This window comes from Homo sapiens, chromosome 7, assembly GCF_000001405.40.
Source record: "Homo sapiens chromosome 7, GRCh38.p14 Primary Assembly".
Taxonomy (NCBI): Eukaryota; Metazoa; Chordata; class Mammalia; order Primates; family Hominidae; genus Homo; species Homo sapiens.
Genome location: NC_000007.14, coordinates 27,790,189 through 27,803,840, shown reverse-complemented (window position 1 = coordinate 27,803,840; position 13,652 = coordinate 27,790,189). Strand labels below are relative to the sequence as shown.

Here is a 13,652-nt window from a genome sequence, read left to right as displayed (position 1 = left end):
TTAACCATCATACTTCATTAGGCAACAAAAGAACTTTAGGGGTACTTTCCGTTTAATCACACAGAATACTAAAAAGACATGTACCCAAGGATCAAGCGTCAATAAAATTAACACATTTTATTGTTTTAACATCTTCAGTGCAACTGGCTTTTTTTTTCTCTACTGTGAGCACATGGTGGTGATGAATACAATAACTACTAATGCAGTTTGGTGCCACTGCCTTAATTCATAATAATACACAAGCAGTTTTCCACACTGCTTTCACACAGTGCAAATGTCACAGCAGGGAGAAAATCAAATAATGTTGTAGTATTATTATGAAAATTGTTTCTTTGCAGGCCCCTGAAAGGGGATTGGGAACCACCAAAAGGACCACAGACCACACTTTCAGAAATGCTGCACTATAGTATCTTTTACATTACAAATGTATTGCTCTATGTGAATGTGAGGTTTTGCTGTAAGTCATTAAACAACTTCAAAAATGTTTCCTATTACAAAAGAAAACCAGATAAACATTTCACGTAATTTTTAGAAATTTCACTGTTTTCCTAAATTTGAACATTGTACTGTCACATGAACTTCAAAATGTGTCTCTTCATAAAGCTCTATTATTATTCAGTTTCATGTGATACACATTTGTTTAACTACATTGCTCAATACCTTCTCCCTGGAGAGGTTTTCCAAATGTGAAATCAGACCACTTATTTCTTTGTCTTTCTCTGCCAATTGAAGCTGAATAAAGAAAGAAATTTCTTTATTTTTTTTCATTTACCTACTCCCTCCTTGCAACTTTGAGATCTGGTTTATACTGTTTTACGAAAATAATTCCTATTACTAAATCCACGTATTTTCCTCAGCTAATTCTTTGACTTCTCTGAATTACTTGTCATTTATTGACCAACTTGCCTTATTCTTAAAACTATTCCTTTGGTTTATGTGAAATTGCATGAATATTTTCATCATCCCATGCCCTTTTTTTGTGTTTTTTTTCTTCCCAGTCCAAATATGAGTATTCTCCAAAGTTTCTTCTTTGGCCTCTTCTCTCAATATTCTCTCTGAAAACTCACCTTCTTCCAAACCTTCAAATATCACGCCCCCGGGAATAAATCACAAATATTAACTCGTGTACCACTTTCTCTTTCCCAAGTTCCAAATCTGCCTTTTAAATTGATGGTTAATGTCCCAAGCCTACTTTCGTACTTCTGTTAACAGAATTCAATCTCAGACTACACTGTGACTAAAGCTTAGAAACTATATTGGAATACTTTTTCCTTTTCCTCTTTCTCCACTCCCCAACACTTTCAGTCTCTAAATCATTCATTCATTCAGCAATCACCCACTGGTCACCTATTACAGTTTAAGCATTAATGGATACAAATACAAATAAAATCATTCTTCAATGGTTCTTCCCTAAAGATGTCTTTCACAGCTTTCTCTTGTAGACACATGACCCATTCAATGGCAGGTGATCAGGGAAGGTACCCAAAAGGAGGTGGTCTTTATCAATTCATTCTAAGAATATTCCTACCTGATTTCCTCACCTTCAAACCCTTCCCACCTCTAAATCCTCTTCAATGCTGCCAAATTATTTTCAAAAAGACTCGCTGTGATTGGGTCTCTTTTCTCCTAGAACATTCTTAACAGAACTAGCACCGAAATTCCATTTTAGGCCTTCTAAAACCTGGCTTCAAGCTATCATTCAAGCCTAAGCTACTCCATTATAGATACTCAAGTCCTAATGATCAAGACTGCTCACAGTTCGCAGACTACGCGCTCCACTTCTGAACTCCAAACGTGTCTTAATGCTCTTCCATCTACTTAGAATGCTGCTGCTTCCTTTCCCTAGCTCTGCTTCTCCTCCCCTCCAGTTTGTTCTTTCAAAGGTCTAGTTACTCCATAATGTCTTCCCCCTAAATATTTGATTGGACACAACTCTAAGGCAATTAAACTTATCATTCATGTGGAGCTTTATCACATTTTGCCTTGTCTGGTCAGTGTTAGTCTGTGTCAAAACAGTACAAAATAGGGCAAAAGAAACTAAATAAAAAGCCAAACACATTTACCAACTACGTAATTTTAGATATGTTGTTTGATCTCAATGCTTACTTTTAACATTAATGAAATAAAATTACCTGTTTAGCTTCCCATGGCTTATAGATGATTACCTAGGGTGGTGTGAAAATTTTGTGCATACTACCATTACACTTCTAGCACTCTACCAGATTATAAACTCCTTAAGCATAGCACTGTGCCTTATGTGATCGCCCACATAATATCTAACATAGCACTTTATGTAAAATAGGCTTCAATAGACATTTACTAAACCATTTTCCTAGTCAATATGCAAAAAATTCTTTTCATATGAATTCATGATTCACACTTAATAAATAATTAAGGAAGGTTCCAGTTATTGAAAAGAATATCCACAAGGATCACAGAAATAATAAGCTAATGTAACTTAGCCTGTAATGTGCTACATCTCCAGCCCCTAAAAGGGAAAACTAAAGTAATTCTAACTTTAAAATTAGATCATAGATACAATTAGCTATGATATTTAAACCATTTAGAATTCCTGGTCTTCAGTAAAAAAAAAAAAAATGTAAATTATATCTACATACATTTCTTAAAATATATTAAATTATACTTTATTCCTTAGAAGAAATACATATTTCTACTTATTAAGTAGCTGGACAGCCTGTTTTTTTTTTTTCTCTAACATTCTTTTTTTTTTTTTTTTGAGACGGAGTCTCACACTGTCACCCGGGCTGGAGTGCAATGGCATGATCTTGGCTCACTGCAACCTCCGCCTCCAGGGTTCAAGCGATTCTCCTGCCTCAGCCTCCCGAGTAACTGGGATTATAGGTGCCCACCACCACGCCTGGCTAATTTTTTGTATTTTTAGTAGAGACAGGGTTTCACTATGTTGGCCAGGCTGGTCTCAAACTCCTGACCTCGTGATCCGCCCGCCTCAGCCTCCCAAAGTGCTGGGATTACCGGCGTGAGCCATCATGCCTGACCTTCTCTAACATTCTTACAGTATCATTTATCATTTGGGCTTGTCTGTTGCCTAAGATTATATTGGCAAAAATAATTTTCATCAGTTAAGATTACATCACTTGCTTTTACAGTATTTCATTTAGGATCACAGTCACATACTTTAGTGATAAATGTTAAAACTCCAGCCAAATTTTTAAAATTACTGATGACATATTATTGTACTCCAAAAAAAGTCAAGGCCCTAAAATAATTATTTTTATTTATTAATTTTTATTTTTTAGAGACTGGTAGGGGGGTGGGTATCTCCCTATGTTGCCCAGGCTGATCTCAAACTACTGGACTCAAGCAATCCTCCCAGACTGGCATCCCAAAGTGCTGGGATTACAGGAGTGGGTCACCATGCCCAGCCATCCTAAAATAATTTTACATATGCATTCATGTTTGTTTCAAAATGAACAGGAGGATAATGATCACTTTTCAACTTTAAAAATAAACACAATTAAAAGATGTAATTTTAATAGCCATCTGAACCCACAGAATTAAAGCCACAATAGCAATGCAAATGGTATCCATTTTCTCAATTCAAAGTTAATGAACAGTATTTATGTAACTAAATATATAGTACATTTTTATTTGTAGAAAAAACTATCAATTATCCATATTTAAAATGTACATTAGATTGAATAAAATTATACATAACTAATTTTCAGAAGTTTATGCCTTAAGTTTACATACAAGGAGTACCAAACTTACTTTATAATTGTCCTGTACTTCAGCTAGTTCAAGTTTTACATTTTCAGCAATTTTCACTTGTTCTTTCCATTTCAGCTCCATTTTTGCAAGTTCATCAGCATATTTATTGCATTTTGCTTTCTCATCCTAAATGAAATTAGTATAATTACCAAAAGATTTTAAATTCATGTAGAGTGAAAATCTATACTAATGTACTTAGATATGGGCTGAACATTTATTATAACACTGTTGTAACAGCATAAAAATTGGAATAATCAAATGTCTATTAATAGACAATTGGATAAATCATTTTCTATCCACACAATGAAATAGTATATATATTTTTAAATAAGGCAGATGTACAAATTGACAAGAAAAAATGTTAAGATACATTAATTGAAAATAGCAAGTTGCTAAAATAGAATATATAATCCATTTTTGTTTATAAGTTGTTTTACACAGTTATAATACAATATCTATATGTTTGTGTTGTATACAAAAATATAAACCAAAATATTAATAGTTCTTATCTCAGGGGATCAGAATGATAGAGGTAATTTTTGCCATCTCTACTCTTCATTTCTGGAACACTACAACATTTCACAATAAGTATATATTACTTTTGCAAAGGGAGGAAATAAAGTCATATTTATAATGCTGTTGTTTCCATGCAGTGATAAACTCTAGGATTTGCTGACCAAGATAATTTTTAGGTTGACTTCTTATACATTGCTCTTCTCTACAACCCAGATTATCTTAAAGGAGGACTTACAAATCATGACAAAAAGGTAATTAGGCCAATTCCATTTGGAACATTTTGTTCAATGTGAACGCTTAAAAATATACTTTGAGCAATTCAATGGAGAGGAAAATCTTTTAAACAAATAACGCTAGGTCAGTTTAATATCCATACCATACATTCCATATTATACACAAAAATTAACTCAAAATGATTCACAGACCTAAATAGAAAAGCTGATTATAAAACTTCTAGAAGACAACACAGGAGAAAATCTTTATCTCCTTGGATTAGGCAAACATTCCTTAGAAGGTAAAAAGCATAAAACATAAATGAACTGATAAACTGTACTTTATCAAAATTTAAATTTTGCTTTTCTAAAAACATCATTAAGGAAATGAAAAGGCAAGCTACAGACTTGGAGAAAATATTCACCTTACATATATCAGACAAAAGACATATACAGAAAAAAAAAAAACACAACTCAAGATGAACAACCCTATATTTAAACTACCAAAAAGATTCGACCACTCACACAAAGAGATAAAGAGCAAATAAGCATAAGAAAAGATGCTCAACATCAAGTCATTATACAAATGCACATTAAAACCACAATGAGCTATCAGTACACACCCATTAGGCTGGCTATGTAAGATGGTACAAACACCTTACAAAACAGTTTGGTAATTTCTTTTTTTTTTTTTTTTTTGAGACAGAGTCTCACTCTGTCACCCAGGCTGGAGTGCAGTGGTGCAGTCTTGGCTCACTGCGACCTCCACCTCCCGGGTTCAAGCGATTCTCCTGCCCCAGCCTCCCATGTAGCTGGGATTACAGGAGTGTACCACCATGCCCAGCTAATTTTTGTATTTTTAGTAGAGAAAGGGTTTCACCATATTAGCCAGGCTGGTCACAAACTCCTGACCTCAAGTGATGCTCCCACCTCGGCCTCCCAAAGTGCTGGGATTACAGACATGAGCCACTGCACCCAGGAGGTAATTTCTTACAGAGTTATTCAACTACAATATCACCCAGGCAATTCACCCCTAGATATTTACCCAAAAGAAACAAAAAAAAACATATGTCCATAAACAACTTCTAAACAAATGTTCATAAGCAGCTTTATTTGTACCAGCCGAAAAACAACCCCAACTACCCATCAAGTGGTGAATGGATAAACAAATGATAAAATAAAAAAGGAATAAATATATGCAATAATATGAATAAATCTCAAATAATCATGCTGAAAGTGGGTAGAAAAAAGTACATATTACATGACTCCATTTTATAAAATTGTCTAAAAGGTAGGCTAATTGATAGTGACAGAAAGCAGGCCAATAATTTCCTAGAGATAAGGATAACGAAAGGGATGTGTTGCAAACAGGTACCAAAAAAACTGGGAGAGTGATGGCACTGTGGTGATAGTTTCACAACTGTGTATGTCAAAACTGATCCAACTGTATACTCTAGGTACGTGCAATTCATTGGATTTCAATTATACCTCAATATGGTTGTTTAAAAAAAAAAAAAAGCACCCTGAGGAAGGTTTTTGCTTGAACATTATTCTATCTTCCTTTCAATACTATTTCTATAGAAAAATCTTGAAATATTCATCCAGAATTGTTTCATCTTTAACGAAAATGTAGTTCACTCTTACAAAAAACTACCCTGAATTCAAGAGTAAAACTGTTCTAATCAACCCTTCCACAGGATTCTCTCAAGCAAAAAAAAAAATTCATTTTAACTTTGGTTAAAAGATTTTGCTATTTATAAGCAACAAAATATTTTAAATAATTACTGTAAATTAAATTACAGTAACATGAAGCTAATGTGTAAATTTTATTCTATAGCTCTAAAAAATGCCCCTCCCCTCCCCAATGCACACAAAAACACACAAAGCACATTTAAAAAAACAAACAAAAATCACTTGCACAAACAACACTTTTTCCTCTCTATGCCAAATTGATATAAATGAGAAGCATTTTCCCTTTTCCTTTAAATATTCCAGTACTGAATACTACACCAAGAAGGCTGCAAACCAGAAAAGTCTGAATGAAGCTGTTTAAAATAATCAAAATAGGCCGGGCGCGGTGGCTCATGCCTGTAATCCCAGCACTTTGACAGGCCGAGGCGAGTGGATCACGAGGTCAGGAGATAGAGACCATCCTAGCTAACATCGTGAAACCCCGCCTCTACTAAAAATACAAAAAATTAGCTGGGTGTGGTGGCAGGCGCCTGTAGTCTCAGCTACTTGGGAGGCTGAGGCAGGAGAATGGCATGAACCCAGGAGGCGGAGATTGCAGTGAGCTGAGATCACGCCACTGCAATCCAGCCTGAGCGAGAGAGTGAGACTCCGTATCAAAAAAAAAAATAAAATAAAATAATAATAATCAAAATAAACACCGTAAGAGACAATTCATTTGGTTAACATTCCCTTTTCCACTATGCAAGTCTAGTCACTTTAAGATGTAAAAATCTTTGCTATTATAATAGTAATTTATTTTATTTATTATTTTTTTTTAGAGACTCGCTCTGTTGCCTAGGCTGGAGTACAGTGTGCAAACTCGGCTCACTGCAACCTCCGCCTCCCGGGTTCAAGTGATTCTCCTGCCTCAGGAGACTGTAGCTGGGACTACAGGCATGCTCCACCACAGCCTGGCTAATTTTTGTATTTTTAGTACAGACAGGGTTTCACCATGTTGGCCAGACTGGTCTCGAACTCCTGGCCTCAAGCGATCCACCCACGTCGACCTCCCAAGGTGCTGGGATTACAGGCGTGAGCCACCGCACCTGGCCGATAATAGTAAATTTAAAAACAGCACTTCCCTTTTATGAAGTTCAAATATTTTTCATGCATCTTTATACGATGACAGATAATTTCTAACCTCAATTAACTATTTGCCCATTACCCAAACAAGAACATTTTATTAGGTGAAAAGAAAATAGTAACTTTAGGTCTCATGATGCTACACACACGCCTATGTGAACAGGTACACAAAACGCCCACCTCATCATCCCAAAAGCCAAAGTGAAACTAAGTAACACTATATGGAGATGGAAAAGAAACTCAAAGATACCAATCAATTGAAACAATAAAGGTAAGCTAAGTCATTAACATTTTATAAATCTCTTTCACTTACAAGGTAGTTAACTTACCTGCAAGAGTTGTTTACATTTATTATACTTTTCTGTTTTGTCAGCAATTTCTTTGGTCATTTCACAGACTTGCCCCTTTGTTACTATGTCAAAATCTGCCTCTGCTGTAGAAAGGCAGAATATAAGACTGTTAAAAAGTATTTTGCCCCTTATATTATCTTCCTGTTCAGAATAACTTAAAGGTCAGTATACTGTAAAATATAGTAAATGGAATGCTGAAGGACAGAAATATCTATTCATATCCTAGATATACAAAGAAGGATATATAAACTCTAGTTGAGAATTGTTAAATGTGTGTTTGGCCAGAACCAAGTTCGCATTCAATAATAAAGGATTATTCTTTGATTTTTTAAAAATTTGCTAAAAAGCGGCCGGGCACGGTGGCTCATGCCTGTAATCCCAGCACTTTGGGAGGCCAAGGCGGGTCGAGGCCGAGGCAGGAGATCGAGACCATCCTGGCTAACACGGTGAAATCCTGTCTCTACTAAAAATACAAAAAATTAGCCAGGCGTGGTGACACACACCTGTAGTCCCAGCTACTCAGGAGGCTGAGGCAGGAGAATTGCTTGAACCCAGAAGGCAGAGGCTGCAGGGAGCTGAGATCACGCCACTGCACTCCAGCCTGGGGGACAGAGTGAGACTCTGTCTCAAAAACAAAACAAAACAAAATTTGCTAAAAAGAGTTCCATAACAGCACAAAAATTGTTCTCCTTATATAACTGAATAGACAGGGTAAGTAGGAAAACCATACTCTGAGAATTCTCTTTCCCCTCTCTGAAAGCCAGGGTCTCACTATGTTGCCCAGGCTAGCCTCAAACTCTTGAGCTCAAGTGATCCTCTTGCCACAGCTTCCAGAGTAGCTAGGAGTACAAGCGCATGCCACCATACCCCACCAAGAACACATTTTAAATCATTCTTCTAGCCCTTCATTACCACTAAGTCTTTATTAAGTAAATACCCTATAACACCATTTTAGGTACTACAGAGGATACATGGAAACAGAAGGCTCAATTCTGTCCTACAGGGGATAAACCTAATATTTAATAGTCTAAGATGTTTACATTTAAAAAGACTTAAAAGATCAATTACTACACACACTAAACAAGAAAATATACTTTCTCTAGTATTTAACGTCATTACTGTCAAATTTACATAAAAGTGAAAAAATCAGGACAGATGAAAACCTAGTTAATCCAAGTTTTCATGTTATTAATGTTCTCACTATGTCTCTCTATTCTGTTCTATAAGTTAATAAACTAATAAAAACTTAACTCATCAGCCAACAGGTACATTGACAAGGGAAGAAGTACCCCCATTGATCCAAAGCAGCCAAAAATAAATGAATAAATAGAAAAATATGAGAATAATAGGGGATTTTTTCCCCTGCAGAATTTAAAAATTAAAATCCACAAATAAAATGCTTCAAAATTCCATAGATTTAATGGAACATAAAGTAAAAATTCAATTCGTGGCTTTTGTCCTATGTAGCCCAAATGAGTACTCACAAGCACCAGCTCATTTTTAACATGTGTGAATAGTCTCAAGAAGATAACTACTAGTTTACATTCACATTTTATATGTTCATGTTGTGTATATTCACCACTTGCATGACTCTATTTTACATTTATACCCTTATTTTCTTGTTGCCTCAATTCCTTCACTTATCACATGAAAATTTTTATGAACATCCTGAAATTCTAACACATGGAAGAAGGCAGTATAAGTACTTTTCAATGTAGGACACCCTACACAAAAAGTCTAAAAGATTTTTACCTGCAGAAGGTGATGGCTTTACATCTACAGTAGAGGCAGAAGTGGCTGGGTCTGTGTTTACTGAAGCATCATTCACTTTCTGCTGATTCCCCGTTTTCTTTGTGAAGACATTATTATTATTAGCCTATTCAAAATGTTAATAAGTTGTTAAATGAGTCAATGAATTAGTTATATTTCCTCCTTGCAGTAACTAAGTAAATAATATTTTTACATATTACTTTAGGAAATCCTAAGAAGTCCACAAAGCTGCTCTTGTTTTAAAAGCCAACAAAGACTAAAGTTATACACATCATTTTGCTAACTGACCTAAATGTTGCAAAAGAAATATACTATATTTTGCTTTTTCTTATAAACTCATCAAAAGACCACCAAAATAAGTCATTCACAGAAATCTACTACAAAGTTATAACGTACTCAAAAGGCCCCAGGCCAAATTCATACATGTGAGTGAGTCATACTTAAAGTATCATATTTTTTCACAAAAGCCTTCCTACTTTACTACATGCATTCCTTGCTTGTCTCCTCTGATTTAAAAAAGTAGGACCAGGAAAGTATCATATGCATCACATAGTAAAAGAGAGCTATAGTACCACTTTCAATTTCAGGTTTTAAATATGTTTCTTCTACATTTCCAGGAGTTCCTCAGATAGTAAGCCTTGTATTTAAGCACAGTTTAAGGACCCACATTGAAACATACATACCTCAAAACAAAAACATCTTCTTTGGTATATTACAAATCTACCTACCTATTCTCAAATGGAATAAAAAAGAATTAGCTAACACTCTTTAACTGTTCCTAATCTAATAGGAATAGGAATCTTCATAATATGAGTATGAAGAACTTGCCAATTACAACTGAGACACCATCTAAGACCTAGGGATGATTAATGGTGAACTCCAATGAGGATAGATGTCATGGTCACAAGAGTCAATAATAAGTATTGAGTTTTGAGTGACAGATATTTATCAAGAACTTAAGAGGGAAATTATCTAGAAAAGAAGACTTTTTTCTGTTTTTTCCTTGCTACTGCCCTTGCTTCCTTTGTTGGCTGTCCAGTAAATTAAAATTCCAGACTTTTTTAAAGAAGAGTTATTACAATATTTGGCCAATGACTTGAAATCAAGCAGAGATAAATAATATTTAAAAGGTTGATATTTGGAATATTACAAATTTGATTTTCGAACAAAAATACTAACAACACATTTTACTATGTGTAAATTTAATGATACTTACTGATTGATCTGAAAGTTTGTTTATTTGTTTTTGGAGCCTTTGGCATTCCTTAAATTTTTCTTTATAATGGTCTGCAGCCATCTGAAGACGGAGTTTCAGATCTTCAACTTCTCTTCTTAGTTCGTGTTCCAGTGTATCAGTCTTGTCCTAGAAAGAAACAAACATTTGAAGAAAAAAATAAAAATCTGATACCTCCTAATGTTAATAGTAACCCCAACTTCAATCTTACTTTTTTTCTTTTTTTTGTTTTTGAGACAGAGTCTTGCTCTGTCACCCAGGCTGAAACACAGTGGCCCAATTATGGCTCACTGCAGCCTTGACCTCCTGGCTCAAGCAATCCTCTTGTCTCAGCCTTTGGACTAGCTGGGACTACAGCTGCACACCACCACACCTGGGTAATTTTTGAAAATTTTTGTAGAGATGAGGTCTCACTATGTTGCCCGGGCTGGTCTTGAATTCCTGGGATCAAGCGATCTTCCCACCTCAGCCCCCCAAAGTGCTGAGGTTATAGGTGTGAGCAACTGTCCCCGGCCACTTTTTTATTTTGGGATTTTGGCTACAGAGCAACATAGGGTCTCTTGTTAAGTCCAGTTTTACATTCTTAGGACTAAGGTTCATTTAAAAAACTAGAGAAAAATAATCCACCTCCTGAAGAGCAATTATTACTCCCTTAAACAACCATAATACTGTTTTATACAGCTAGTAAGAAATTCCAAACAAAACAATACATATCTGACATCAATATATTTAATCAATAGGGCAGCTTTCACCAACCATTAAGAATTCTGCTTACAGAAGTTTTCCTTACAGCACACATTAACTGTAAGCCAAGAAGTCACAATGACTAAACAAAAGGAATGAAAATTTTAAATTTAAAATAAGGCAGAAATCTGACCTGTCTTATCTTAACACAATTTACTACTTTGTGAGATTATAGTGGTTTCTTAAATCAAAATGCAAATTCAAAATTAACTTGTTTTACCTGATCTTTTTTCATAGCATTTAGTTTAAGTTCTGCCACTGCATCAGCTAACTGCTTTTTCACTTTCTCGTTTTCCAAGCGTGCAGTATGCAGGTCTGCCATCGTTCTGTCTCGTACGTTGACAGCATCACTGAGTTCTTTAGCCAGAAAGACAACTTCTTGCCGAGTTGCCTGAACCTGTTCCTCTGCTTTACGAAGTTGCTCCTTTAAAAAACAAGTATCTTCCTGAAGAAAGCAGATAAATATATTTGTAATTCAACCACTCAAGTAAAAAACAGAAGCAGAAACAATTTTCGCACATATTTCAACAGGGCCAAAATTTTAGATATTGGTTTTTCTACTCATGACTTACAGAGTATATGCCTACAAAAAACTTAAGAAGTAACTTTGTTTTAGGTTCCCTCTATAACAACCCTATGTACTTGGTTTCACTGCTACTACTTTATACACAAGGAAGCTAAAGTACAGCGAGTCAGGCAACATACCCAGTGCTTAAGGACCTGCCCAAACTGAGGCTCAAACAAAAGATCCCATCCCCCAGAATCTCTTCAGCTAGAAATACTGACCCTCATTTTGTATGACTACCAGTAAAAATCATTCCGAAAGCTTCTTTGTAACACCAAAAATTTTGGTTAAAAGATGTTTCCTACTTTCTACCCCAAGAGACATCCAATATAATATAAATCTATTTCATATCATTATAAAAACACAGAACAGATTTAGGCCTTAGTTCTAAAAACAAAATATTGATATACAAATAGTAAAGACGAGGCATTGGGAAAATGAAAAGTAATTCATACTGCTTGACAAACCTAAAAGTATCTTTAAAAAGCTAAAATTGCCATGGTGAAATTATTTCCTTTAATATTAATGTTTAAACATTATAACATTTAAACATTATAAACACAATAAATTTAGTTTATTCAACTTCCTGTTTTTAATCTCTGTACTAAAAATAATGTAAAATCAGGAAAAAAATGCAACCCAATATTGGTTTCTAAACTGTTAGCCCCTTAGAAGGAAATGTAAATGATGATTTTATGCAGTGTTGGCATGGACAAAATCTTCGGAGGCATCACACTAATAGATCTACCTATAAAAAGATCGCCAACTTCTATATGTCAAAGGAGAAGAAAAAGAACTAGAAGAAAATTATATGTAATATATTCAAGAAAGGTATAATAATACTTGATATAAATAACTTTTCTAGTCAATAAGGAGAAACAAAACAAAAGTCAAAAGTCATGAACATACAAAATTTTCTAAAGAAATAAATGCGATTATGCAGTAAAAAAATTCAACTCACCAACAATCAAACAAATAAGTTAAAACAAATGCCATTCACCTTTCAAACTAACAAAGATCAAAAAAACAGTAACATTCCAATATTTGCATGGGTTTAGGGCAACTGGCACATTCACAAACAGGTGGGCTTATATAAACTGTAACTGGCATCTTTTCTCATCAGATATTTACAACATTCATCAGCACCTTAAAAATTCTCACAGCTTTTGATCTAGCAATTTTATTTCCATAAGTTTCCAAGAAAATTATCAAAGGGTATAGACATAGGTTTAGCTTTACAAGGATTCAATAAAATACTAAAATAATGAAAAATCATTAAGAACCTAAAATGTCTACCAACATGAGAATTTATGATAAACTATGATATACTACCTCTATATAATCAAAGTCTGTGCAGACATTACAAACAATACATATCTCATATACTCTTGGTGGGAATAAAAAAATCAATAGAACATTTTTTTGAAAGGTAATTTGAAAATAACTATCAAAATTTAAATACTCATTGACCCAGTAATTCCACTTGAAAGAACTTATTCTACGGATTATAAATGTGCCTACATATTGCTATAAGGATGTTTACTGCAGGATGCTTATAAAAGCTGAAGACTATAAACAATCAAAAACAATCAAAAAACATATACTACACAGTTGTTAAATGAAGAGAAGAAATACTAGGCAGTTGTTATGATGAATGAAAAAGATCCACATGTGTATCATAGTGCAAGATATCCATT

The 13,652-nt window shown here is 34.6% G+C and overlaps 1 protein-coding gene across 6 annotated transcripts in view; it reads right to left on the bottom strand.

The window, feature by feature from the left end:
• TAX1BP1 (Tax1 binding protein 1) overlaps window positions 1-13,652 on the bottom strand; it is a 90,395-nt gene that overhangs the window by 25,927 nt on the left and 50,816 nt on the right. For all 6 annotated transcript variants that reach the window (NM_001206901.1, NM_006024.7, NM_001362794.2 and 3 more), the window contains 5 exons: window positions 11,611-11,835; window positions 10,629-10,775; window positions 9,395-9,518; window positions 7,622-7,725; window positions 3,751-3,876 (listed from right to left, as the gene is read on the bottom strand). In NM_001206901.1, the coding sequence (NP_001193830.1) occupies window positions 3,751-3,876; window positions 7,622-7,725; window positions 9,395-9,518; window positions 10,629-10,775; window positions 11,611-11,835 (726 nt within the window). The remainder of the gene's footprint in view (window positions 1-3,750; window positions 3,877-7,621; window positions 7,726-9,394; window positions 9,519-10,628; window positions 10,776-11,610; window positions 11,836-13,652) is intronic.